At 53.3% G+C, this 24540-nt stretch overlaps 1 protein-coding gene across 5 annotated transcripts, besides 4 other annotated features; it reads left to right on the top strand.

Annotated features, from left to right (window-relative positions):
- On the top strand, window positions 140-23293 carry SNRNP70 (small nuclear ribonucleoprotein U1 subunit 70). 5 transcript variants are annotated; one of them, NM_003089.6, is made up of 10 exons: window positions 140-325; window positions 1094-1250; window positions 4980-5042; window positions 5155-5209; window positions 13116-13180; window positions 13331-13393; window positions 16079-16160; window positions 19323-19424; window positions 22314-22401; window positions 22484-23293. In NM_003089.6, exons 2-10 carry the CDS (start codon window positions 1104-1106, stop codon window positions 23130-23132), a joined length of 1314 nt encoding a protein of 437 aa, NP_003080.2. In that variant the 5' UTR covers window positions 140-325; window positions 1094-1103; the 3' UTR covers window positions 23133-23293. The 5 variants fall into 5 exon arrangements, with proteins under 5 accessions (NP_003080.2, NP_001287998.1, XP_011525542.2 ...); NM_001301069.2 differs by having other exon boundaries at window positions 22511-23293; XM_011527240.3 differs by lacking the exons at window positions 140-325; window positions 1094-1250; window positions 4980-5042; ... (1 more) ...; window positions 13116-13180; window positions 13331-13393 and adding an exon at window positions 13523-13652.
- Window positions 236-325: an enhancer, noted in NCBI's record as "active region_14926". NCBI's record gives its function as "activates an Ori minimal core promoter by ATAC-STARR-seq in GM12878 lymphoblastoid cells {active_cell/tissue: GM12878}" and the evidence as "EXISTENCE:reporter gene assay evidence [ECO:0000049][PMID:35858748]".
- Window positions 14605-15460: an enhancer, noted in NCBI's record as "H3K27ac-H3K4me1 hESC enhancer chr19:49603173-49604028 (GRCh37/hg19 assembly coordinates)". NCBI's record gives its function as "activates a minimal SCP1, AML or CMV promoter by ChIP-STARR-seq in naive H9 embryonic stem cells {active_cell/tissue: H9 hESC(naive)}" and the evidence as "EXISTENCE:reporter gene assay evidence [ECO:0000049][PMID:30033119]".
- Window positions 15461-16314: an enhancer, noted in NCBI's record as "H3K27ac-H3K4me1 hESC enhancer chr19:49604029-49604882 (GRCh37/hg19 assembly coordinates)". NCBI's record gives its function as "activates a minimal SCP1, AML or CMV promoter by ChIP-STARR-seq in naive H9 embryonic stem cells {active_cell/tissue: H9 hESC(naive)}" and the evidence as "EXISTENCE:reporter gene assay evidence [ECO:0000049][PMID:30033119]".
- Window positions 21485-22326: an enhancer, noted in NCBI's record as "H3K27ac-H3K4me1 hESC enhancer chr19:49610053-49610894 (GRCh37/hg19 assembly coordinates)". NCBI's record gives its function as "activates a minimal SCP1, AML or CMV promoter by ChIP-STARR-seq in naive H9 embryonic stem cells {active_cell/tissue: H9 hESC(naive)}" and the evidence as "EXISTENCE:reporter gene assay evidence [ECO:0000049][PMID:30033119]".
- Window positions 23294-24540: the final 1247 nt, after the last annotated feature.

The following is a 24540-nucleotide window of genomic DNA, read 5'->3' on the forward strand; positions in this document are numbered from 1 at the left end:
AGGCGGGGTAGTGACCTCGCGCGTGCGCTGTGCCCGCGGCAGCGCCGGGTCCTAGTGTGTGGGTTGTTGTTGGCACCGCACGGCGCGTGCGCAGTGAGGACGGCGGAGGGATTTGCGGCCGGGACCCACCCCCTGCTCCAGTCGCTATCGGAGGCCGCGCGGGTGGCTGAGCAGCGGCCTGGTGCGCTCGCTTAGCGGGCGACGGAATCAGACGGACGTGGACGCCCCCGGAGTGGAAGCCGAAGCAGGAGTTGTTGTTGCTGAGGGGCTGCCGCAGCCGCCGCGAGCCTCCGGACAGACGCCAGAGCGAGGAGGGCGCTACGCGGTGAGTGAGTGTGACTGAGTGGCCCGACGGGGTGCGGGGCCGCTACCCAGAAGCCCCAGCGGTGGGCCCGGTCCTCTTCCCCGCGGCCAGGCCCCTTTCCCGCGTCCCCGCCACAGGTCCCTTCTGCATCCCTTTCCCGGACCCCGAAATCTCTGGGCACCCACGCCCGCTTCCCACAGCGCCCTCGTGGTTCCCTACCCACAGGCCCTTGCGGTGTGTGGCCTTTTTTCTTTTTCGTTTGTCTATGTTGTCCTGGACCCTTACCCATAATTCCTTTCGCTTTTTGCGGGGTCCAGGTCTGTTACCCACAAGCACTTGGTTTTGGGGCTTCGCTCCTTATGTTTCTCTTTCTTTGCTTGGAAACTTCCGATCCCCAGGACCCTGCAAACTGCATCTCGTAATTTGCCCTCCACGGCACGGGACGAGCAGCCACAGCTGCTCTGGGCCTCCCTCCTCGGGTCCTTGATTTCCCCAGAAATTCCCAGGGAACCTCTCCGCCCCACAGCTCGTGTCAGAGGACTCTGAGACTTCACTCTTCAGGAACCCTTTTCCAGCCGTTATTTTTGTTTTCTTTACCGGCCTTTCACCTCCACCCCCACCAAGACGTACCCTTTTCTCCGCAACACAGGACTGTTCTCTGCCCTTACAGAGCCTGTTTTAATTCCGAGACTTTTCTCCTGTCTTTCTTATTTTGAGAGTCAAGGAGTAACAGGGGCTTTCTCTGTGCAGACCCGATCTAACCTAAGGCTGTCCTGCTTCTGCTCTCAGACTTGGCAAGATGACCCAGTTCCTGCCGCCCAACCTTCTGGCCCTCTTTGCCCCCCGTGACCCTATTCCATACCTGCCACCCCTGGAGAAACTGCCACATGAAAAACACCACAATCAACCTTATTGTGGCATTGCGCCGTACATTCGAGAGTTTGAGGTGAGTTCACTGAGCAGGCCAGGAATGGTTTGGGTTCTGGGGAGCAACGGGTTGGATTTGCGAGTCCAGCTTCTGGCCATTTTGCCAGCTGCGTGATTTAAGCGAGGGGCTTAACCTTTGTGATCCTCAGTTTCTCTGTTTTAAATGGGGTTGGAGCCGGGTGTCGGGTGTGGTCGAGTGCGTCTGTAGTCTCAGCTACTCAGGAGGCTGAGGTGGGAGGATTGCTTGAGCCCAGGAGTCGGAGGCTGGAGTGCTTTGTGATTGTGCCACTATACTCCGGCCTGGGTGACAGAGCAGGACTTCGTCTCTCAAAAAAAAAATTTTTTTTTTAAGTGGGGTTGTGGCCCGGTACGGTGGCTCACGCCTGTAATCCCAGTACTTTGGGAGACCGAGGCAGGCGGATCACTTGAGGTGAGGAGTTGAAGACCAGCCTGGCCAACATGGTGAAACCACGTCTCTGCTAAAAATAACAAAAATTAGCCGGACATGGTGCCTGTAATTCCAGCTACTTGGGAGGCTGAGGCACGGGAATCACTTGAACCCAGGAGGCGGAGGTTGCAATGAGCCGAGATCGCGCCACTGCACTCCATCCTGAGCAACAGAACAAGACTGTCTCAAAAAAAAAAAAAAAAAAAAAGTGGGGTTGATAGTACACCTTTTGTAGAATTTTTGTGAAAATTCAGTGAGTAGTGGTTGAGGATTCATGCCTAACCCACACCATTTATCAGCTCTGACTTTGGGCAAATGTTGTATCCTCTTAATGCATTGGTTTCTTTATCTTTAGCAAGGGGATAGTGGTAGCACCCTTATAATGTTGGTGGAGAATTAAATGGCAAACTGTATGTCAGGGGGCTTGGCACCAAGCAGTCAGCACATGTCAGCCTTTGTTACTCTGTTTACTACTTTTATTGTTAATAAGATGATGTTCATAAAGGCTTAGCACCCAGTATTGAGTATTGGAGGGCTTAAAACTGCAGATGGGGATCTTAGCTCTGCACCTTTGGGATAAATAGGAATGAATGACTTAGGCTCCTGGACCTCTGTGTTTTTATTTGTGAAATGGGATGACAAGGGTCATCTCTTAGGTGCATCAGAGCACACCTGAGAAAAGCTGGCACACAGTCGGAAGTTACAAGAAGAACGTTCTAGCATTGGGTAGGTAAGGGCAGCTGGAGGCGAGGGAGTTGCAGAGCAGAATTTCGTAGATAACAGAAAGGTATGTCTTCAGTGGGATTTGCCACCCTTGGTGAACCCGCACTTGAGAGATATTACTGGCCAATTAACTTAATGGGCACAGGCGGGTGGTAGGTGCCCTTTGATGATGCAGGTCATGTGCCAGTTACCATTTATTTATTTATGAGACAGTTTTGCTCTGTTGCCCAGGCTGGAGTGCAGTGGCGTGATTTTAGCCAACTGCAGCCTCCGGTTCAAGCAGTTCTCCTGCCTCAGCCTCTCAAGTAGCTGGGATTACAGGCATGCACCACCACGCCTGGCTAATTTTGTATTTTTAGTAGAGATGGGGTTTCACCATGTAGGCCAGGCTGGTTTCGAACCCCTAACCTCAGGTGATCCACCCCCCTTGGCCTCCCAGAGTGCTGGGATTACAGGTGTGAGCCACCATGCCTGGGAGCCAGGTACTTTTTTTTTTTTTTTTTTTTTGACTTGGAGTCTCGCTCTGTTGCCTAGGCTGGAGTGCAGTGGCGTGATCTCGGCTCACTGCAAGCTCCGCCTCCCGGGTTCATGCCATTCTCCTGCCTCAGCCTCCCGAGTAGCTGGGACTACAGGTGCCCGCCACCACGCCTGGCTAATTTTTTGTATTTTTAGAGATGGGGTTTCACCGTGTTAGCCAGGATGGTCTTGATCTCCTGACCTTGTGATCTGCCCACTTTGGCCTTCCAAAGTGCTGGGATTACAGACGTGAGCCACCGCACCCGACCTTTTTTTTTTTTTTTTGAGATGGAGTATCGCTCTGTTGCCCAGGCTGGAGTGCAGTGGCGTGATCTAGGCTCACTGCAACTTCCACCTCCCGGGTTCAAAGGATTCTCCTGCCTCAGCCTCCTGAGTAGCTGGGATTACAGGCACGCGCTACCATGCCTGGCTAATTTTTGTATTTTTTGTAAAGACGGGGTTTCACCATGTTGGTCAGGATGGTCTCAAACTCCTGACCTTGTGATCTGTCTGCCTTGGCCTCCCAAAGTGCTGGGATTACAGGCATGAGCCACTGCACCCTACCAGCCAGTTCCTATTTAATGTGTGGTTGATGAGACCTTTAAGAGCTGCCTTGGCCCTCAGAGGGTGTGCAGTTGTGGGCTTTGGAGCCCTGTTCTGTCAGCTTATGTTGCTTTAGGCCTGGTCATCCTCACTGGCACTCATAAGCAGGGCCCTGCCATCACTCCACTCCCATCACATCCTCTGGCACTTTGTTCAATGTGAGTGATACTTGGAGCTGTGAGAAGCAATGTCTTTCCTAAATATGGAAGACAGGGTGTTTCCTAAATACTATAAAGCTAGATGTCACCTGTACCAGTGCTTTTCAAACTGTCTTTGGTGAAGGACAGATACTGTTTCCAATCTGTTTGCTTTTGATAAATATGATAGAATTACTTTTTAAAGAAAGATCTACAGTCAGGAGTTCAAGACCAGCCAGGCCAACATGGTGAAACCCTGTCTCTACTAAAAATGCAAAAACTAGCCAACATGCTGTCGTGTGCCTGTAATCCCAGGTACTCACTCAGGAGGCTTAGGCAGGAGAACCGCTTGAACGATTCTAGTCAGTTGCTGGGTTCCTTTTAGAGAGACGGGCACAGGGGGGAAAGCAGGGCTTAGAATCGCTTGAACCTGGGAAGCGGAGGTTGCAGTGAGCCCAGATCGCGCCATTGCACACCAGCCTGGGCAACAGACCACAACTTCGTCTCAGAAAAAAAAAAGACCTACAGAATAAAAGACCAAATTTGTATTAAGAGTCAGTGGACATCAAATTGTGAAATTACTGTAGAAGTTCCTGAACACTTAGTCCTGGTTTCTGTACTTATCACAGTCCAGCAACAGTTTAGATAGTACTGGTCCATGGACCATGCTTAGTTTTTGAGACAGGATTTTTTTTTTTTTTTTTTTTTTTTGAGACGGAATCTTGCTCTGTTGTGCAGGCTGGAGTGCAGTGGTGCGATCTCGGCTCACTGCAACCTCCGCCTCCTGGGTTCATGCCATTCTCCTGCCTCAGCCTCCCGAGTAGCTGGGACTACAGGCGCCCACCACCACGCCCGGCTAATTTTTTGTATTTTTAGTAGAGGTGGGGTTTCACCATGTTAGTCAGGATGGTCTCGGATCTCCTGACCTCATGATCCGCCTGCCTCGGCCTCCCAAAGTGCTGGGATTACAGGCGTGTGCACTGCACCCGGCCTTTACACCTGGCTAATTTTTAAATTTTTTGTGGAGATGGTGTTTCACTGTGTTGTCCCAGGCTGGTCTGAAACCCCTAGGCTCAAGCATTCTCCCTGTGTCATCATCCCAAAGTGCTGCGATTACAAGTGGAAGCCACTGTGCGTGGCTGCAGACCTTGCTTTGATCTGTGCCACTCCCCTCCCTCCACTGTGTCAGGGGAAGTGTGCGTGGATGTTTATTTTTGTAGGGGGTGGGGGTGGGAGGGTTAACCTGTTTATTTCCTTGGTGAGTGTCCCTTGCCATTTCCCCCAGTCCTTCCCACCCTGTCACCTCTCTTCTTGTTCCCAGGACCCTCGAGATGCCCCTCCTCCAACTCGTGCTGAAACCCGAGAGGAGCGCATGGAGAGGAAAGTATGTCATTTTTGCTTCCTGACCCCCTGTTTTACCACTGTCTCCAGATGATCCTTGACACTAGGGCACTTCTATCTGCATTCACTTCTCCACCTCCCCTTTCTCCTGACAGAGACGGGAAAAGATTGAGCGGCGACAGCAAGAAGTGGAGACAGAGCTTAAAATGTGTAAGTCTCTCATCCACCATTTGGCTCTCTCCTCTCCCAAACCCTCTGTATTCTTCCCAGGTCATACCCAGGACCCTGCTGTCTCCCTAAGGCCTGTGTTGTGGGGAACAGGGTTGTTAGTTCATTTGTTTAGCCCCTGCCACTTCACAAGCACTGTTTTTGGTTTAGGCTTTTCAGCAGCAGAACATAGGGTAAAAGTTGGCAGGAAGGGAGACCCCTGGTACCTTGGGCTCCTCCTGCATGGGAGGACAGTTAAGGGGCTCCCACAACCCAGCTGGGTGTCACAGGCTGAAGTGGTGGGTTGTGGGATAGTGGTCTGTCCTGGCTCTAACCTTAGGTCCCCAACCCTTGGGCTGAGGATGTTCCATCCCCTCCACATAGAGGAGGAATTGGAGTACAAGACAGGTGTGTTGTTGCCATTAACCAAACTCATAAGAGGGTCAGATGTCAACCTCCAGTGGCTCTTTATTCTGAAAGTGAAAACTGTACAGTCACAGGCAGCATAGCAGTGTTTCACTCAGCAGGGGACCGTGGATGTGATGGTGATCCTATAAGATTATATCATATTTTGCCAGGCACTGTGGCTCACGCTGTAATCCCAGTACTTTGGGAGGCCGAGGCAGGCGGATCATGAGGTCAGGAGTTCGAGACCAGCCTGGCCAGCGTGGTGAAATCCTGTCTCTACTAAAAGTACAAAAATTAGCTGGGCGTGGTGGCGAGCGTCTGTAATCCCAGCTACTCGGGAGACTGAGGCAGGAGAATCTCCTGAACCCAGAAGGCGGAGGTTGCAGTGAGCCGGGATCGCGTCGGCTCACTGCAACCCAGCCTGGGCAACAAGCAAAAATCTGTCTTAAAAAAAAAAAAGATTATACCGTCTATTTACTGTACCCTTTCTATGCTTTGATAACGTTTAGATGCACAAATACTTACTATTGTGTTAGGATTGCTGTAGTATTTGGTGTAGTAACACGCTTGGCCTCGGAGCAGTGGGACGCACCCTCTAGCCCAGGAGTGTTAGGTATGCTGTCTAGGCTCGTGGAAGTGCCATCTCATGTTGGCATATCGACATCATCATCAAACGACGCACTTCTCAGAACATGACTCTAGTGAGAAGACAGGTTTTCCTCCTATACCTGTGAACTTTGATGAATCCCTTTCCTCCAAATCCTGGAGTGCAGGATTTCCTCACGGTGCTTACGCAGAAGCGTGACAGAGACATCTGGCGGTGCACTCTTTGGACATTGGCTGTCGGAACGCTGTCTTGATGTCCTGCCTCAGAGGCATCTCAGACTCAGTGTCCAAACCACAGGGGTTTTCCCTCGCCACCAACCTGGTTTCCTTTGGGTGTTTTCTCTGGGACATAGACATTCAGCTGTGCCGGTCATGACCTCATTTTTTGCCATGCAGTTTGTTTCTAACACCTTTTCTAACCTTTTGCTCAGCCTCTCACCAAGACCTATTTGTGTTATTTTCTAAATGTCACAAATCTGACCCTTCTTTTCATGTCCATCATCACCACCCAGGTCACCTCTTGCCTAGACAACACAGTCACAGTCTTAACTAGTTTACCTATGTCTTTTTGTTTGTTTGTTTGTTTGTTTGTTTTTTGGAGGCAGCCTCGCTCTGTCGCCAGGCTGGAGTGCAGTGGTGCAATCTTGGCTCACTGCACCCTCCGCCTCCCAGGTTCAAGTGATTCTCCTGCTTCAGCCTCCCAAGTAGCTGGGACTACAGGCGTGCGTCACCACGCCCAGCTAATTTTTGTATTTTTAGTAGAGGCGGGGTTTCAGCATGTTGACCAGGATCGTCTAGATCTCTTGACCTTGTGATCTGCCCACCTTGGCCTCCCAAAGTGCTGGGATTATAGGCATGAGCCACCGTGCCTGGTCACCCCCCTCCTTTTTTTTTTGAGACGGAGTCACGCTCTCTCAATCAGGCTGGAGTGCAGTGGTACTATCTTAGCTCACTGCAACTTCCGCCTCCTGGGTTCAAGTGATTCTCCTGCCTCAGCCTTCTGAGCAGCTGGGACTACAGGCGTGCGCCACCATGCCCAGGTAATTTTTGTAATTTTAGTAGAGATGGGGTTTCACCATGTTGGCCAGGCTGGCCTCGAACTCCTGACCTCAGGTGATCCACCTGCTTCAGCCTCCCAAAGTGCTGGGATTACAGGCATGAGCCACCGCAGCCGGCCTAGTTTGTCTATATCTTAACCAACCACATCCACTGTGGGTCTTCTTTTTTTTCTTTTTTGGAAAAACTTTAAAACTGAGACGGGGTCTCACTATGTTGCCCAGGCTGGTCTTGAATTCCTGGGCTCAAGTGATCCTCTTGCCTCAGCCTCCCTCAGTGCTGGATTACAGGTGTCAGCCATTGTGCTCAGCCTCTTTTTTTTTTGTTGTGTTTTGTTTTGTTCTTAGGGACAGGGTCGTGCTGTGTTGCCCAGGCTTTACTGCCGTGGTGCAGTCATAGCTCACTGCAACCTTGAATTCCTGGCCTCAGGTGATCTGTCTGCCTCGGCCCCCAGAGTGTTGGGATTTCAGGTGTGAGCCACCATGCCCAGCCAAAAGTGTTTTTCATTTTTTGTTTTTTGTTTTTTAGATGGAGTTTTGCTGTTATTGCCCAGGCTGGAGTGTAGTGGTACGATCTAGGGTCACTGCAACCTCTGCCTCCCCGGTTCAAGCGATTTCCCTGCCTCCTGAGTAGCTGGGATTACAGGCATGCACCACCATGCCTGGCTAATTTTGTATTTTTAGAGACAGGGTTTCTCCATGTTGGTCAGGCTGTTCTCGAACTCCCGACCTCAGGTGATCTGCCCGCCTCGGTCTCCCAAAGTGCTGGGATTACAGGGCGTAGCCACCACACCCGGCCAGAAATGCTTTTTAAAAACGGTTCCACCCGGGCGTGGTGGCTCACGCCTGTAATCCTTCAAGGCAGGTGGGTCACCTGAGGTTGGGAGTTCGAGACCAGCCTGGCCAACATGGTGAAACCCTGTTTCTGCTAAGAATACAAAAATTAGCCCGGCGTGGTGATGTGTACCTGTAATCCCAGCTACTCGGGAGGCTGAGGCAAGAGAATCCTTTGAACCTGGGAGGCGGAGGTTGCAGTGAGCCGAGATCACGCCATTGCACTCCAGCCTGGGTGACAGAACAAGATTCCATCTCAAAAAAAAAAAAAACAAAAAAAAAAACAGTTCCAGGCCAGGCACGGAGGCTCATGCCTGTTGTCCAGCACTTTGGGAGGCTGAGGCAGGCAGATCACATGAGGTCAGGAGTTCAAGACCAGCCTGGCCAACATGGTGAAACCCCATCTCTACTAAAAATACCAAAACAAAAACAAAAACAAAAACAAAACAAAACCTAGCCAGGCATTGTAGTGGGCTCCTGTAATCCCAGCTACTCGGGAGGCTGAGGCTGGAGAATTGCTTGAACCCGGGAGGCGGAGTTTGCAGTGAGCAGAGATAGCGCCATTACACTCCAGCCCGGGCAATAAGAGCAAGACTCCTTCTCAAAAAACAAACAAGTAAGTTCCAATTGGGCGAACAAAAAAGTTCCAATTGAGGAATTTGAACACTGGATCATAGATGAGGTTAAGGAATTAGTAAATGTTAACTCTAAGATGTAATAGTGGCACTGTGGTTATGATGTTTAAAAGCCTTTGTTAGAGACCAAAATGGTGTGCTATCTGGAATTTCATTTAAAATAATCCAGCCGGTCGTGGTGGTTCACGCCTGTAATCCCAGCACTCTGGGAGGCTGAGGTGGGAGGATTACTTGAGTGATCCAGGTTCGAGTGGTGAATATGGTGAAACCCTGTCTCAACTGAAAATATAAAAATTATCTGGGTGTGGTAGCAGGGGCCTCTAATTGCAACTACTTGGGAGGCTGAGGCAGGAGAATCACTTGAACTCAGGAGGCAGAGGTTGGGGTGAGCTGAGGTCATGCCACTGCACTCCAGCCGGGGTGACAGAGCAAGACTCCGTCTCAAAAAAATGCAGTGGGCTGTGGGAGGATAGGGATGAAACAAGTCCGTCCACGTGTTGATAATGGAAGCGGGCTCATGGGAGTTCGTTATACTGCTCTGCCTCCATTAAATGCTTGAACTTCTCCATAATAGAAAAGAAATAAAAGAATGGATCAAGTTCAGTAGGGTTTCTGTGCCCTTGAGAGCCTCCACTCATAGCTATAGAAGCTTGCTGTGCCTTGTCACAATGAACAGCTCCCGTCAAGGGGACGGTGCCTCCTTGCTGAGCGCTTGTACTTGGTGTTACTGACTTTCTCACAGCTTCCAAGTGCAGCAGGGGTTGCTACTCCCATTTTTAAGATAAAGAAATGGAGGCTTGTTGAGGCAAGCACGCTTCCAAAGAGTGAGAGTTCCAAGATGGGACCTCGAGTACCTCAAAGCCTAATTCCCAACTCCACGACCCACTTCCGTTGAGTCTCTGCTCTGGGCTGCTACTTAGATGAGCCCTCAACCAGTGATGTCCTGAGGGAGAGCTGCCGTCAGGGCGCTGCACGCATACGCTGGCTGTGGGGCGCTGCCCGGCATTGGGTCTGTGCTACCTTCTTTGAGCTTTTGTTCTCTATCTTCAGGACTTGGGGGTACCATTGCTTTGCTGCATTTGCTTTTTACCTTTAGTCACATTTGTGGCCCCCCCACCCCGGGTAAGCAAGTGCTCCAGGGAACTCACACAGTGTGCTGGGGTGGTTTCCCTCTGGCTGCCCTTCAGGAAGCTCAGCTGTTGTTTGGCCTTCGTCCACTCCCCAGCCCTGCAGCATTCATTGGTCCCACTGTCATGCTCCACAGTAACTGTTAGAATGCCTGCTGTCTGGCGTTGCCGGGTGTGTTTCCTTGCTGCTGTGACAGCTTTCAGCTCTTCATTAAATGTTAGCATCTTGTGAGGCTTTTTCTAACCTGCCTTGTAAAGTCACCCGTTTCTATTCTCTGTCGTCATCTGATGTGATCATAGGATCTCCTTATTTACCTCTTTCATTAGCATATGAACCCCATGAGGGTAGACACCTTTTTTTTTTTTTTTTTGGAGACAGTCTCACTCTGTTGCACAGGATAGACTGTAGTGGCACGATCTCGGTTTACTGCAACCTTCATCGCCTCCCTGGTTCAAGCGATTCTCTTGTCTTAGTCTCCTGAGTAGCTGGACCACACCCAGCTAATTTTTTGTGTATTTTTAGTAGGGATGAGGTTTCGCTGTGTTGATCAGGCTGGTCTTCTTGAACTCTTGGTCACAAGTGATCCGCCTGCCTTGGCCTCCCAAAGTGCTGGCATTACAGCTGTGAGCCACTGCGCCCAGCACCTTTTTTTGTCTTGTTTACTGCGAAATCCCCAACAACTATAGCATTTCCAGGCACATAGTAGATGCTTAAGAATTACTTACTTACAAGAGCACAAACATCGGCGAATAAAAAGAATTACCTATTGAATGAATGAGAGTTAGCTGGTGCAAAAAAAAAAAAAAAAAAAGCCAGTGCAGATTGAGAGACCTGGCCATAGAAAATTACAACGCTCAGGGATAAGGTATGGCAAGGAACGTTTTTTGTTTTTTGTTTTTTTTTTCGCTTTATTGCCGAGGCTGGAGTTCAGTGGTATGATCTCGGCTCACTGCAATCTCCACCTCCCAGATTCAAGCAATTCTCCTGCGTCAGCCTCCCGAGTAGCTGGGACTATAGGCGCACACCACCATGCCCTGGTAATTTTGTATTTTTAGTAGAGACGGGGTTTCGCCATGTTTGCCAGGCTGGTCTCAAACACCTGACCTCAGGTGATCCGTCCGCCTTAGCCTCCCAAATTGCTGGGATTACAGGTGTGAGCCACTGTGCCCAGCCTGGCAAGGAACTTGAGGAGTGGGTGGAGAGAACGCTGAGATGGAGTTGTTTTCAGACGTTTCCATTTGTCCCAGATAGCGATTCCCTTAAATTGTGGCTTAGGCTTCTGTTTTCTAAAATATTCTTAGGCCAGGTGCGGTGGCTCACGCCTGTAATGCCAGCACTTTGGGAGGCCGAGGCAGGCAGATCACCTGAGGTCAGGAGTTCGAAACCAGCCTGGCCAACATAGTGAAACCCCGTCTCTACTAAAAATACAAAAGATTAGCTGGGTGTGGTGGTGTGTGTTTGTAATCCCAGCTACTTGGGAGGCTGAGGCAGGAGAATCGCTTGAACCCGGGAGGCGGAGGTTGCAGTAAGCCGAGATCTCGCCATCCATTGCACTGACCTTGGGCAACAAGAGTGACACTCCATCTCAAAAAAAGTACATTCCTTAAAGTCATCTTGACCTTAGTTTATACTTGTAGTTAAATTCTCTCATAAGAAACAAATCTGGCGGGACGCGGTGGTTCATGCCTGTAATCCCAGCACTTTGGGAGGCCGAGGAGGGCGGATCACCTGAGGTCAGGAGTTCGAGACCAGCCTGGCCAACATGGCGAAACCCCATCTCTACTAACAATACAAAAATTAGCTGGATGTGGTGGTGCACGCCTGTAATCCCAGCTGCTTGAGAAGCTGAGGCAGGAGAATTGCTTGAACCTCGGAGGCAGAGGTTGCAGTGAGACGAGATTGCGCCATTGCACTTTAAGCCTGGGCAACAGAGCAAGACTCTGTTTAAAAAAAAAAAAAATCTGAGACTTTATTTCTCTAGCTTCTGGCAACACCCACACTGTCTTCCTGAAAAGGTAGCACCCGAGGGTTCGGGGAAGGAGCCTGGTAGTTCAAGTGCCCGGGGTGAGAGGTGAAGTCTGCCTTGGCCCTTCGCCACTTTAACACCTCCCTTTTTCTGTGTCTCGAGTTTGTTCTGTTTTACTTCCATTTGCAAAATAGTAATAAATAAATATCAGTGTCCAGCACTGTGTCTGGGCCATAGTACGTGTTCAGTAAATTATATGTCTAATGTTCCATTATTGGAACGCTAAGCATGTGGGAGTTATTTATATCCTACTGCTCGGGTCATCACCAGGGTCTGATTTTTCACACGTGTCTGCAATTCAAAAAATTGCAACCTCTGGCATAAATGGGTTAATGTTATTCCTTTTCTCATGCTCTCCCAGAATGTGACAGGGCTTCCGAGGGAAACACTATACCATGGAAGAACCGGCAGAGTGTCCTTAAGGCCCCGGCAGGAGTCAGGGTCATTATGTGCTGGAGCCACCATATTTGGTGAAAAGGACTTATTCCCAGGCCTGACCCAGCAGGATCACCTATGAAATTGGTTTCTTAGGAGATTCCTGGCTCTTTTCTTTGGAGATTGTTATTCCTTAGTAGCCAGGTAGAACAGTTTGCCTCACAGTAGTGAGGCTGGAGTGAGAATCTGATCTGACGCTAGTCAGTTCCTGGGTTCCTTTTTAGAGACACAGGGCACAGACAGGAAAGCAGAGCTTACTTAGTGTTTGCTTTCCTGGCTCTCATTCTTAGCCTTGGGGCAGCTTGGTCTCAGGTTTTCCTGTGGGCTGTAGTTGCAGTCTGTGTCCAGTAGGTGGCAGTGTGGCCCTGCCTACAGGAGGGAGCTCAGAACCTGGGGGCATCAGCTGCATCTCCAGGGAGGCCCAGTTGGGCTATTACTGTTTGGATCACCTTGCATCTGGGAGCGATAGGGCCCTTAGGGTTTATGTAGGTCTGAAATGGCAGTTGGGCCTGCCCACATCCTGTCAGCTTGAAGTCAGCCTTACCTCCTCTCCTCAGCAGCCTGGATTATCTCTCAGCCACTCTGATAAAGCCCACTGTGCCTCAGAGAAACAGGTTCAGAGAGGGGCGTCCCTGAGGTTGCCAGGTCACCACCCATGTTCCTCCAGTTAGGGGCCTCTCCCAATGCCACCGTTTTCTTCTTGGCCTCTGCCCATCGTATTTGTTTTGCTACCTGAGACCATGGACACCTTCAACTTATAAAATTCCTTTCTTCCTGCACAGGGGACCCTCACAATGATCCCAATGCTCAGGGGGATGCCTTCAAGACTCTCTTCGTGGCGAGAGTGGTAAGTCCCCAGCTCCTAGCTCCTGGAACCCCACGCTGCTGAGAGCCTGGGTCTGGCACAAAGGTCAAATAGGCTAGGTACAGGGGAATGTTCCAGGGGCTGTGGGACAGCTCTGTTCTCCCATTTAACGTCATATCCATCTCCTTGTAGAATTATGACACAACAGAATCCAAGCTCCGGAGAGAGTTTGAGGTGTACGGACCTATCAAAAGAGTAAGTGGAGTGGGTCAGGGTGTTTGAATTGGGGGTGCATGGAGGAGGGGCTGTATCCTGAGAGGGAGGGAGAGAGGTCCCAGCCCTGAGCATGGCTCACACCATTTCAGGGCCTGGATTTATGCATCCTGACTGTATCTCCATGCAGCAGACCTTGGGCAGCAGAAGTAAAATGAGAAGTAATGACTGCTGGTGGTTGGTTGAGAGCAGGGGTTGGCAAACTACAGACTTAAAGTTTTCCTGCTGCTCAGCCAGGCAGGTCTGTTTGTTTACACATTGTCTTTGGCTGCTACTGTTGTAAGGCAGGGTTGGATTGTTGCAACAGTATACGGCCGTCCAAGCTGGAAATATCTACTCTCTGGGTCTTGGCAGAATACCTATGCTGAGTCCCGTTTTAGAGGAAGGCTTTGTTTTACCAATCTTCTTTTAAGTCACTGAAGTGCTCTGTGTCTGATTTCCTTTATCTAACATGGGAGACGCATGCCTTCACTGGGCAGTAGTGAGGGCTTGAGGCCATCCTACACACAAACTGATGTTAGCCATGTCTCTTCTCCCTGCTCTGTTTCTGATACGTCTTTTAAAAATATTTATACATGTCAGGCCGGGTGCAATGGCTCACACCTGTAATCTCAGCTCTTAAGGAGGCAGAGGCGGGAGGATAGCTTAAACCCAGGAGTTCGAGACCTGCCTGGGCAATATAGCAAGACCCCGTTCTCCACACAAAGGAAAAAAAAAGTATTGTTGGGCCAGGCACGGTGGCTCACGCCTGTAATCCCAGCACTTTGGGAGGCCGAGGTGGGCGGATAACCTGAGGTCAGGAGTTCGAGACCAGTCTGACCAACATGGTGAAACCTGGTCTGTACAAAAAAAAAAAAAATACAAAAATTAGCTGGGCATGATAGCGGGCGCCCGTAATCCCAGCTACTGAGGAGGCTGAGGCAGGAGAATTGCTTGAACCCAGGAGGCGGAGGTTGCAGTGAGCCGAGATCACACCACTGTACTCCAGCCTGGGCAACAGAGTGGGACTCCATCTTAAAAAAAAAAAAAAGTATTGTAGGCTGGGCGTGGTAGCTCACGCCTGTAATCCCACATGTTGGGAGGGCGAGGCAGGCAGATCACCTGAGGTCAGGAGGCAAGACCAGCCTGGCCAACATGGCGAAACCCCGTCTCTACAAAAATACAAAAGATTAGCCGAGTGTGGTGTCTCGTGCCTGTGTGTGTGTGTGTATGTGCATGTGTATATATGTGTACACACACACACACACGTTGTTCTGCCTTGCACAGCCCAGTGACAACCTTGGCCCCACCCTTGTCCCTCTGATCCATTCAAGTCAGGAATCTTGGTTGTGTTTTGGAGGCTGTGGGGTCCCAGGTTCATCCATGATACAGGTTGGTCGCCAACTGGTAGTGATGTGAATGGCGAACTAGCCATCCTTTAGGGACCAGCTCAAATGCTGTTACCTCCCAGAAATCTTCCCTGGTTCATTCTGGCCACCTCTGTCTCAACAGCCCTGCCTTGCCCGTTGTTCTCCCTGACATGGTCCCCAAGGGGTCTTTCTGACATCCAGAGCTGACCCCATCTCTGCTGACAGCATCCCATGGGTCCCTAGCATGTTAGGACAGGTCCAGCTGCCACCATCTGGCCTTCCAGGGCTCTTCCCCAAGCTGTGTGGCCTCATGGACCTCCACCCCACCCCATCTCCTCCCTTCTCTTGCTGCCATCCTCGGGATGGGACGCATCCCTCATCGTGCCACGTTCTCTCAAGCCTCCCTGGCTGTGCACGTGTCCTTTCTTTTTCCCTTAGAACTTCCCTGTCCTTGGCCAGGCACAGTGGCTCACGCCCGTAATCCCAGCACTTTGGGAGGCCGAGAAGGGCAGATCATGAGGTCAGGATTTCAAGACCAGCCTGGCCAACATGGTGAAACCCCATCTCTACTAAAGATACAAAAAATTACCCAGGTGTGGTGGCGCACGCCTGTAATCCCAGCTACTTGGGAGGCTGAGGCAGGAGAATCGCTTGAACCCGGGAGGTGCAGGTTGCAGTGAGCTGAGATTGAGCCATTGCACTCTAGCCTGGGCAACAGAGCAAGACTCTGTCTCCAAAAAAAAAAAAAAAAAAAAGAATTCCCGTCCCATTGGCATTCACAACTCCCTCCTGTTTCCCTAATTCCATTTGTGTCCTCCTGACTCCACGTAGACCACCCACATTGGCCCTTCCTTGCTCAACACCCTTCCCAGCTCCTCAGCGACCACACTTCTCGGCCTGGCATTGGGGCGCTTGATGACCCCGGGCCTGCCCACCTTTGTGGCTTCATCTCCTGGGACTCTCTGTCATCAGTACATGAGCCAGCCCTGCCGAAGCGCATCCCCAGCCTCCTGCCCTCCTGCCCCCGGGCCCTTGGACCTCTGGAGTTACTGCTATTCCACCTGACAGGCTGACACCTCACTGTCTTCCTTCATCTCTCTTCTTTCTTTAGGTCTTAGCTTAAGTGTCATTTTCTCCAGGAAGCCGCCTCTGTGTCCTCTGCTCCTGCCATTAGAACATAAGTCACTCAGGGCTCTTGAAGGACAGAGAGGGTCTGAGGCCTCATCCGGCCCAGGGCCTGGTGTGCAGGCTGTTGTGGGGTTGGTGGGGCGGAGCCGCCCTGTGGCAGGACTCACCCCTGTCCCCATGTGCCCCACAGATACACATGGTCTACAGTAAGCGGTCAGGAAAGCCCCGTGGCTATGCCTTCATCGAGTACGAACACGAGCGAGACATGCACTGTGAGTACCTCCCGCCGAGCCCTGCCCTCTGACCTGCTCTCACTTCTCTGCTGCCCCAGCCCCTCCCAGTCTGTCCCCTCCCCCACCCTGCCACACCTGACATTAGCGATGTCTCTTCTCCTCCTCCCTCTGTTTCTGATGTATCTTTTTTTTTTTTATATACGTGTTTTTTAAAAAACAAAAACCAAATCCCCCACAACGTGTGTGTGTGTGTGAACCTGGGGAGGTAAGTGTCACACGTTGAACCTCAGGGGCAAAGAGGGAACTGGGTGGGGGGCTGGGGCCAGCTGGAGGTGGGGGGAGGGGTCGGATTTTGGGGGAACCTCCCCCATTCCCCCCACTGAAGTTGGGGGTGGCCAGGTTGCAATGAGGACTGGCCTTTGAACCTGCCCTCTCTTCCCCCCCCAGTAGAACTGGGGCTGGGCCACCCGACCCTCCGCTTCCCCAACCCTGGCCCCCCACCCTGTTCCTCAGCGGGCAGTGGGGTGATAGGCATGTTGAGCGCCTGCCCCTACAGTTCCAAAGCCCCCTTTGAGGCTGCCGCGGCGTCCACATGGGCAGGGATGGGTGGGGGAGGGTGGGCAGGGCTGCGGCGTGTCCAGGGGCCGCCGTATTAATTGACTGTTCTTATTGTCACTGCAGCCACCACGCAGCTGGCTTGCAGCTGATGCTTACGCTCCCCTTACAACACCTCAGTGTATGGTTGGTATAAGGGTTTGTATCATGGGTAAGATCACTCAGCACCGCACACCAGCCCAGCTTAGCCAGGCAGCTCAGGAGCAGCGAGGCGCCCCTCCTCCCACCCCAGTCGCCCCCGTAGCCTCCCCGCACCCATGGCCCTTTCCTTGTTTGGGTGCCCTTTGTCCCTCCTGCCCCGATCCGTATGCTCTCTGAGAATCTTGCTGATCCCAGGAGGGGAAGGATGAACCTGGTGGGAAAGGCGGCGGCCTCTCCGCTTGGGTTCCACCCAGCCTCTGATGACCCGGCTTCGTGATGTCAGCGGCGAGGTGGCAGGAACACCGAGGGCAGGGCTCCAGGCCAGGGCTCCACTGGAGCCCTTCAGCCTTCCCTCCCTGCCCCCGTGCTTTCTATGGGGCTGCTACTGTGCTGGCCCTGGAGAGTCTTTTTGGCTGCTAGTTTTGGGGTGCTCTGCCCCCTTTCTGTCTTCCTTACTGTGGTTGAGGCCTCCCGAGGGGGCTGGCTGTGGTGTCCAGCAGCTCTCCAGAGGTGGTCAGGAGCTCCCTAAAGTGCATGGAATTGGGGCTTGGGGTGTGGGAGGGACCAAGGGGTAGGCTGCTAGCAGCTGAAGGTGTCGTAGGTTTTTACTAAAGAACCTTCCACTGTCTAGAGACTTGAGAGAGGGAAAGAGAGAGAGAGGCCTAGACGAACACAATCACATGTTTTCTTTGCTGTTCCTCCCGGGATGGGCCTGTTTTGGGGTTTGGGACTCTGAACCCGAGCGGGGTTCCTTCGCTTGACTTTGATCCTGGTCCTTAAATGCCTTTCCCCACTCCCCTCCCGTGGGTTCAGGGGCCAAGCGGCCCCTCCTCAGAGCACGGGCAGCACCGTCTCCTGGACCCCTGTGTGCCAGCCTCTGCAGACGCAGCTGGTGGGAGGGAGCATGGATTTGGAGGTGGAGAAGTCACTCCTGGTCCTCGGAGGGGGTGGGCTGTGTGCCTAGTTCAGTGTGACTCGGGGATTGGTGAGGGCGGACAGGTTTCTGAGGCCTCCCTAGCCTTCTTTGTAAATTCACACGAGATAGTCCAGGGCTTTCCAGCGCCCAGCTTGGATGATAATCCTCGTCTCCCCCACTCTAAGGCCTCCTTGAGATTTCTTTGGGGTCTACCACGTCCTCTGCCTGTCTCCAGGTGGTACAGGAGATGTGGTTCCTCTCCCTCTCCTGGCTCCCTAGAACCCCCCACTTCCCCTCCCTGTAGCTTTAGCTGACCCCGTGGTGGTGGGTGTGGGGTCTGTGCGCGTGCTCAGGTAAGCTTGGGGGCTCCAGGTAAGCGGTCCCGTGTCCCCCCCCCGGGAAGCCCGCCTCCTCGCCAGGCCCCCAGGAGTTGCCGAGCCCCCCCCATCCCGCTCGGTTTGGACACCCGCAAGGCCGGCATCGGTAAATGGCACCTTTTTCTCTTCCTCTGGTTGTTATTTGGGGGGGAGCGGGCTGGGGCGGGGCAGGGTATTACGGTTGGTTGAGGACAGCCCCCTAGGCCAGGGCTGGGTGGGGGAACGGGGACTTTTTGGCCTTCATGACAGCCCCACGTTGATCACAGGCCAGGGCCTCAGGCTTGCCTTCTGCTACGCGCTGCCCGAGAGCAGCAGTGAGCCTCTCCCCCGTCTCCCCTCTACGACTCCCCTTTCCTGGCAGGCTCAGGCTGGGGTGCGCTCCCAGCACGTGTTGAGCCGGGGGTGTGGAGGGCGAGATGGGGCAGGGCTGGGGGGAGGCAGAGTCAGTCGTCTCAGGTAAGGCAGGGATTTTCAGTAGCACCGCACGGCTCCCCATGCTTCCTCCACTGCCCCTCTCCCCTGCTGCAGGGGCCCCGCCAGGCCCCCTGGGAGTGTATAACCCGCCTCTCTGCTCCCTGCCATTTCCTGAAGATTTCTCCCACCCCCTTCTGGTTCATTTTCTGTTCTGATGTCTGTTCCCCCCACACTCACCCCCCTCCAAAAAAAACAAAAACAGAAAAAACCGGTGTGGTCTGGGGTGCGGAGCGTCCCAGCTGGGCCTCCTGCCCCGGCTTGGTGTCTCAGGGTGCATGCTTGGGGTTGTGGAGGAGCCCCCTCCCCCACAGCAGAGTCCAGCGTGGAGTTAACCTTCAGTTTCTTTGCAGCGATTTTGGCCGCCCTGGCGGGAGGGGGCTGTTCCATCATGTGGGAGAGGAAGGGCCGGGGAGCCTAGGGGGTGGCGGGTGAGGGTGGACGTCTCCCCCGACCAGGAGTGGTTGGGGCGCTGAGAGGAAGCAGACGCTGAGATGGAGCAGGCCCTTCACCGGTTTGGGAGAGGGTTGGTCTGGCTGTCAGTTGCCTGGCTGTCTGTTGGGCGTGTGCGTGTGCGTGATGATGGGGACACGGGGCGGGGATTCTGTAGAGCTGGGCCTGTCCTGACTAGAGGACCCTCTGGGGACTCCTCTCCCCTCCCCCTCCCCACATCTGTTACAGCCGCTTACAAACACGCAGATGGCAAGAAGATTGATGGCAGGAGGGTCCTTGTGGACGTGGAGAGGGGCCGAACCGTGAAGGGCTGGAGGCCCCGGCGGCTAGGTGAGCACATCCTGCCTTCGACGGGCTCTCGGGGGCCCTGGGCCTGGTGGCCTTGTTCTCCCTTCTCTGCTGCTTTCTGCTTCTCTGTCTCCTGCCGGCCCACCTCTCCCATCGCGTCCTCATCTCCGGCTTCTCTCTCTTGTGGCCATCACATTTCTGACAGCTGCCTGCCTCCTCGTTCTGGGTTACTGTGAGGAGCAGGGGCACCAGCCTGGAGAGGCCTGAGCCCACATGCTGGCGTCCGCCCTTGCTAGCTGGGGGTCCCCTTTTCCTGCCTCATTGTACTCCTCTTAGTGGAAATAACCCCGAGTTCACTGAGCTCAGTGTACTGGGCGCCCAGCTTGGCAGTGACGCATGCTGGGGTTGTAAATGTCACTCGCTCATCTGCTTCTGCTGCTTGCTGTTGCTCTTGTTCACTCTTTTACTGATTCAGCAAGTACCTATTGGATCACCAGCTGTGTGCCGGGCTTCTAGTTGAGCAACACAGAGGCAGCCTCTGCCCTCTGAGCCTCCTGCATTCGGTCTCCTCATTGTCATTTGCTGTCTCAGGCAAGGTCAGTTTGGCTGCAAGTATCAGAAATAAACTTGAGCTTCCTGAAACATAAAGGGCCCTGTTGATGTAGAATCATGGGCATCCTTTGGAGTTCGGAGGTATGTGATGTCCGTGGACCTGAGAACCTGGTAGCTGACGCTGTTAAGAGCTGGGGCAACCAGGCCAGGCGTGGTGGCTCGCCTGTAATCCCAGCACTTTGGGAGGCCGAGGCGGGTGGATCATGAGGTCAGGAGTTCGAGACCAGCCTGGCCAAGATGTTGAAACCGCATCTCTACTAAAAATACAAAAATTAACTGGGCGTGGTGGCGGGTGCCTGTAATCCCATCTACTCGGGAGGCTGAGGCAGAGAATTGCTTAAACCTGGGAGGCAGAGGTTGCAGTGAGCCAAGATAGAGTCACTGCATTCCATCCAGCCTGGGTGCCAGAGCAAGACTCTGTCTCAAAAAAAAAAACAAAAAACAAAAAAACTGGGGCGACCCACCTGTGATGTGTGACAGCCCACAGCTTGCTTCTGCCTCGTTTGCCTCCATGCAGCTAGGTCGGTCCCATGCCTCTTTGCACTGGCCCAGCGCAGCAGGCCACAGGCCCCAGCTTTACACTCAGTCCTGGATGAGTCTCTTGTTTCGGGGTGGGCACATTTGATTGACTCAGTGTTGGGCCTGGGGTCCTGTTGCTCAGGCATGCTTATTGAGGACTGAATCCTGCAAAGCTGAGTGACAGTTGTCAGAGAAGATGATGGTCCCTGGGCAGACACCCAGGCAGTAGTAGCCACTTGGGGCTCCTGTCCTGCCTCCCAGCCCTGTGTCCTGGCTCTGGACTCGCCTGTGCTAGGGAGACCACGCTCTCAGCTGCTGAGCCTCGGAGCTTACCAGGCATGTTCTTACCTTACTCTGGTCTCTCTGGGGTGGAGTGGGTTCTTATAGCTCTGCTGTTTCCTGTTGGGGCGGGAAAATGCTAGAATCTCAGTCTTTCCAGAATCTCAGAATCTTCTAGTTCAATTGCCATTCAAACTTTTTGTTGGTGTTAGCCAATAACATCTTGACTCGGTGCACCCGCAGAAATACTGTAACCTAAAGTTTGAGGAAACAGTTTTTTCTATGTAGTAAGTATATAGTTGTATTCTGCTGTTTTGTTTCTTAAGATGTTGGTTGCAACCCATCAGATTGATGATGGGACTCATTTCTGGGTCATGACCTGAATATAGGAAAGGCTAGTCTAGCTGCCCTGTGCCTGTGACATGGCAGGTGCCTGGTCCGCTGCCTGCTTCTATAAGAATGTCTCCCTGCAGCCTCTTTTCTATACAGAACTCAGCCCTGCCTCACGGAAGCTTTTCCAGGCAGTGCGAGATAGAGGAGCGCTTGAGAAGGCAGGTTTTGCAGCAGACGGCAGTGACAGCCCAGTTCTGCACCTTCTTTGCTGAGTCACTGTGGGCCAGTGACTTGATCTGAGATTGTTTCCCCATCAGAACCATGAGGTTATCATCTGTGCCTTGGGGCTGTTCATCTATCTATTCACTTGACACACACACATCCACCTTTCTATACCAGCTGCAGCGCCACCTGCTGGTACCGTGAGCAAGAGCTGGGCATGCCCACGGTTCCGGTGCCCTGCAGTCTGGTGGGAGAGGCAGGTAGGGGTCGACTCAGGTAGCAAACCTGAAACTCCAGGGGAAGGAAGCGTTTCTGCAACTGTGAGTACATAGGACTGTGAGGAGAGACTTCCCGAGAAAGGATGTTCGGGCTAGCGTTAAGGGTGAGCGTGAGTTCACCAGAGAAGGAAGGGGAGACCAGTCCAGGGCAAGGAGAATGCACAGACACTGGCAGGAAGGTGAGCGTGGGGACACTGGGAAAGGCCTGGGACACGCAGCCAAGAGCCGCGGCTCAGACGCTAGCAGGGCCCGCTCTTGCTGCCTCTACCACCAGTTGACGAGGAGTTTGGACCTTAGGCTGGGGGACGCCAGCAAAGGCTTCTAAGCAGATCACATTTTTGGGTGGAAAGATCATTGGCTTCGGGTTTCTGTGAGGGCGAGGATGATTGGAAGGGAGGGTTTTGAGGAGGCTGTGAAGTGCGCTATGGTTAAGATGATGCGCTTTGGGGCCAGACATGGGTTCCAGTAACGGCTGTTGCCTAGCGAACGCTTTGTGTGAGTTAATTAGAGAAGACGTGGCTGTCTTGTGATGGGAGTGCGCGGGATGAACTGCACGGGGGGACCCGGCCCTGTGAACACTAAGCCAGGGGCTGCCTTCCTGCCCTTTGCTCTTGGAGTCGGCTCATTTCTGCTCCTCCGGGCCCTGTCCCTGCCCAGATTCACCCTCTGTCCGTCTGCCCTGCCCCAGGAGGAGGCCTCGGTGGTACCAGAAGAGGAGGGGCTGATGTGAACATCCGGCATTCAGGCCGCGATGACACCTCCCGCTACGATGAGAGGTAAGATTGGGCGACCGGTGTCCTGGGGTGGGGGGCGGTCACGGGGGGAGCCCAGCCACACAGGTCTGCCCACCTCATCCAGGCCCGGCCCCTCCCCGCTTCCGCACAGGGACCGGGACCGGGACCGTGAGCGGGAGCGCAGAGAGCGGAGCCGGGAGCGAGACAAGGAGCGAGAACGGCGACGCTCCCGCTCCCGGGACCGGCGGAGGCGCTCACGGAGTCGCGACAAGGAGGAGCGGAGGCGCTCCAGGGAGCGGAGCAAGGACAAGGACCGGGACCGGAAGCGGCGAAGCAGCCGGAGTCGGGAGCGGGCCCGGCGGGAGCGGGAGCGCAAGGAGGAGCTGCGTGGCGGCGGTGGCGACATGGCGGAGCCCTCCGAGGCGGGTGACGCGCCCCCTGATGATGGGCCTCCAGGGGAGCTCGGGCCTGACGGCCCTGACGGTCCAGAGGAAAAGGGCCGGGATCGTGACCGGGAGCGACGGCGGAGCCACCGGAGCGAGCGCGAGCGGCGCCGGGACCGGGATCGTGACCGTGACCGTGACCGCGAGCACAAACGGGGGGAGCGGGGCAGTGAGCGGGGCAGGGATGAGGCCCGAGGTGGGGGCGGTGGCCAGGACAACGGGCTGGAGGGTCTGGGCAACGACAGCCGAGACATGTACATGGAGTCTGAGGGCGGCGACGGCTACCTGGCTCCGGAGAATGGGTATTTGATGGAGGCTGCGCCGGAGTGAAGAGGTCGTCCTCTCCATCTGCTGTGTTTGGACGCGTTCCTGCCCAGCCCCTTGCTGTCATCCCCTCCCCCAACCTTGGCCACTTGAGTTTGTCCTCCAAGGGTAGGTGTCTCATTTGTTCTGGCCCCTTGGATTTAAAAATAAAATTAATTTCCTGTTGATAGTGGGCACCTCGGTTTCTTCCTCACTGCTCTGTTTTCCCCAGAAGGTTGTTCCTGACTTGATAGCCCTGCTTGGTTTGGTTTCCAGGGTGTACTTAAAACTTGAGCGTTAGGACATGAGGCTGGCTCTGCCCAGTAGCCAGAGCTGTTGAAAGTGGGGTGAGGCGGCCTCTCGGGCTCCTTGTCTCCCTTGTGTTTTTCACCCTTTTTTCTTTTTCATCTCTGCCACACATTCCTCAGGGCTGACCATACCCCTGTCTTGGTGGGGGGCTGGGAATTAGGAGGGGGCTTGATTACTCAGGGGAAGCCGCAGTTTTGAATATGCAAGGGAAGCTACCATCTGCAAGGGAGAGCGGCACACAGGGTGAGGAAAGGCAGAATACACTGGGCACGGGTGAGACGGGGCAGAGCAGGAAGGGTGGACCCACATCATAATAAGTAGTGACAGAGGAGCAACGAGCAGAAACACAGAAGAGGTTCCACCAGCAATTGAGATTTCAAGCAGATTCCTGGACAAAAGATTAAAGACATTGGTGGTGAGAACACTTCAGTCTGGTGAGTGCAGGGAAGGAAGCCTGTCAGCCTTGCAGAACCCTAGAGGGCCAAGGCTGCAGCTCCAGGAGAGCAAGGGTGGGAGGCCAGAGGGAGAGCGGGGTACAGAACAGTTGGCCTCCCTGTTGGCACTCAGGATGCCTGGGAGCTGGGCCGGGGGTGCCTAGGCAAACCTGCTTGTGTTCAGACCTGCTTGTGTCTTGTAGAAGCGTCTCAGCCTGAAGGCAAACTTGGCCTGATAACTCAGAGGGTCTGTGACTGACACGCAGGATTTCAGTCTGCTTTTTAATGGCTTCAGTTTAACCAACGGAGGATACCCAGACATTTGAGGAAAAACAGACCACAAGATAAATAGAAAAACTGACCCTGGAAGAAATGACTTAGGAATAAAAGAACTTCATACCTCTAGTTACTATATTTCATAGATATCCCAGATACTGCAACTATAAGACTTCTAGTATTGGCTACAAGAAGCCCATTTTGGACTAACATGGCACAGACTGGTTACATAAAGGCTGGACAATAGGCAAAAACTTAGAAAAGGCGCCAGAAAGTGGCCAGCTTTGATGAGGCTTGAGGGGGTGTGATCCGTTAAGAGAACACACAGGTGTGTTTCGCACTTACCCTTGCCTTTTCCTTGAGGATGTTTTGCCATTTAGCATGAGGAAGTCAGGCGGGACTGACTTCCACTGGGC

The sequence above is a fragment of the Homo sapiens genome, chromosome 19 (assembly GCF_000001405.40).
Source record: "Homo sapiens chromosome 19, GRCh38.p14 Primary Assembly".
Lineage (NCBI taxonomy): Eukaryota > Metazoa > Chordata > Mammalia > Primates > Hominidae > Homo > Homo sapiens.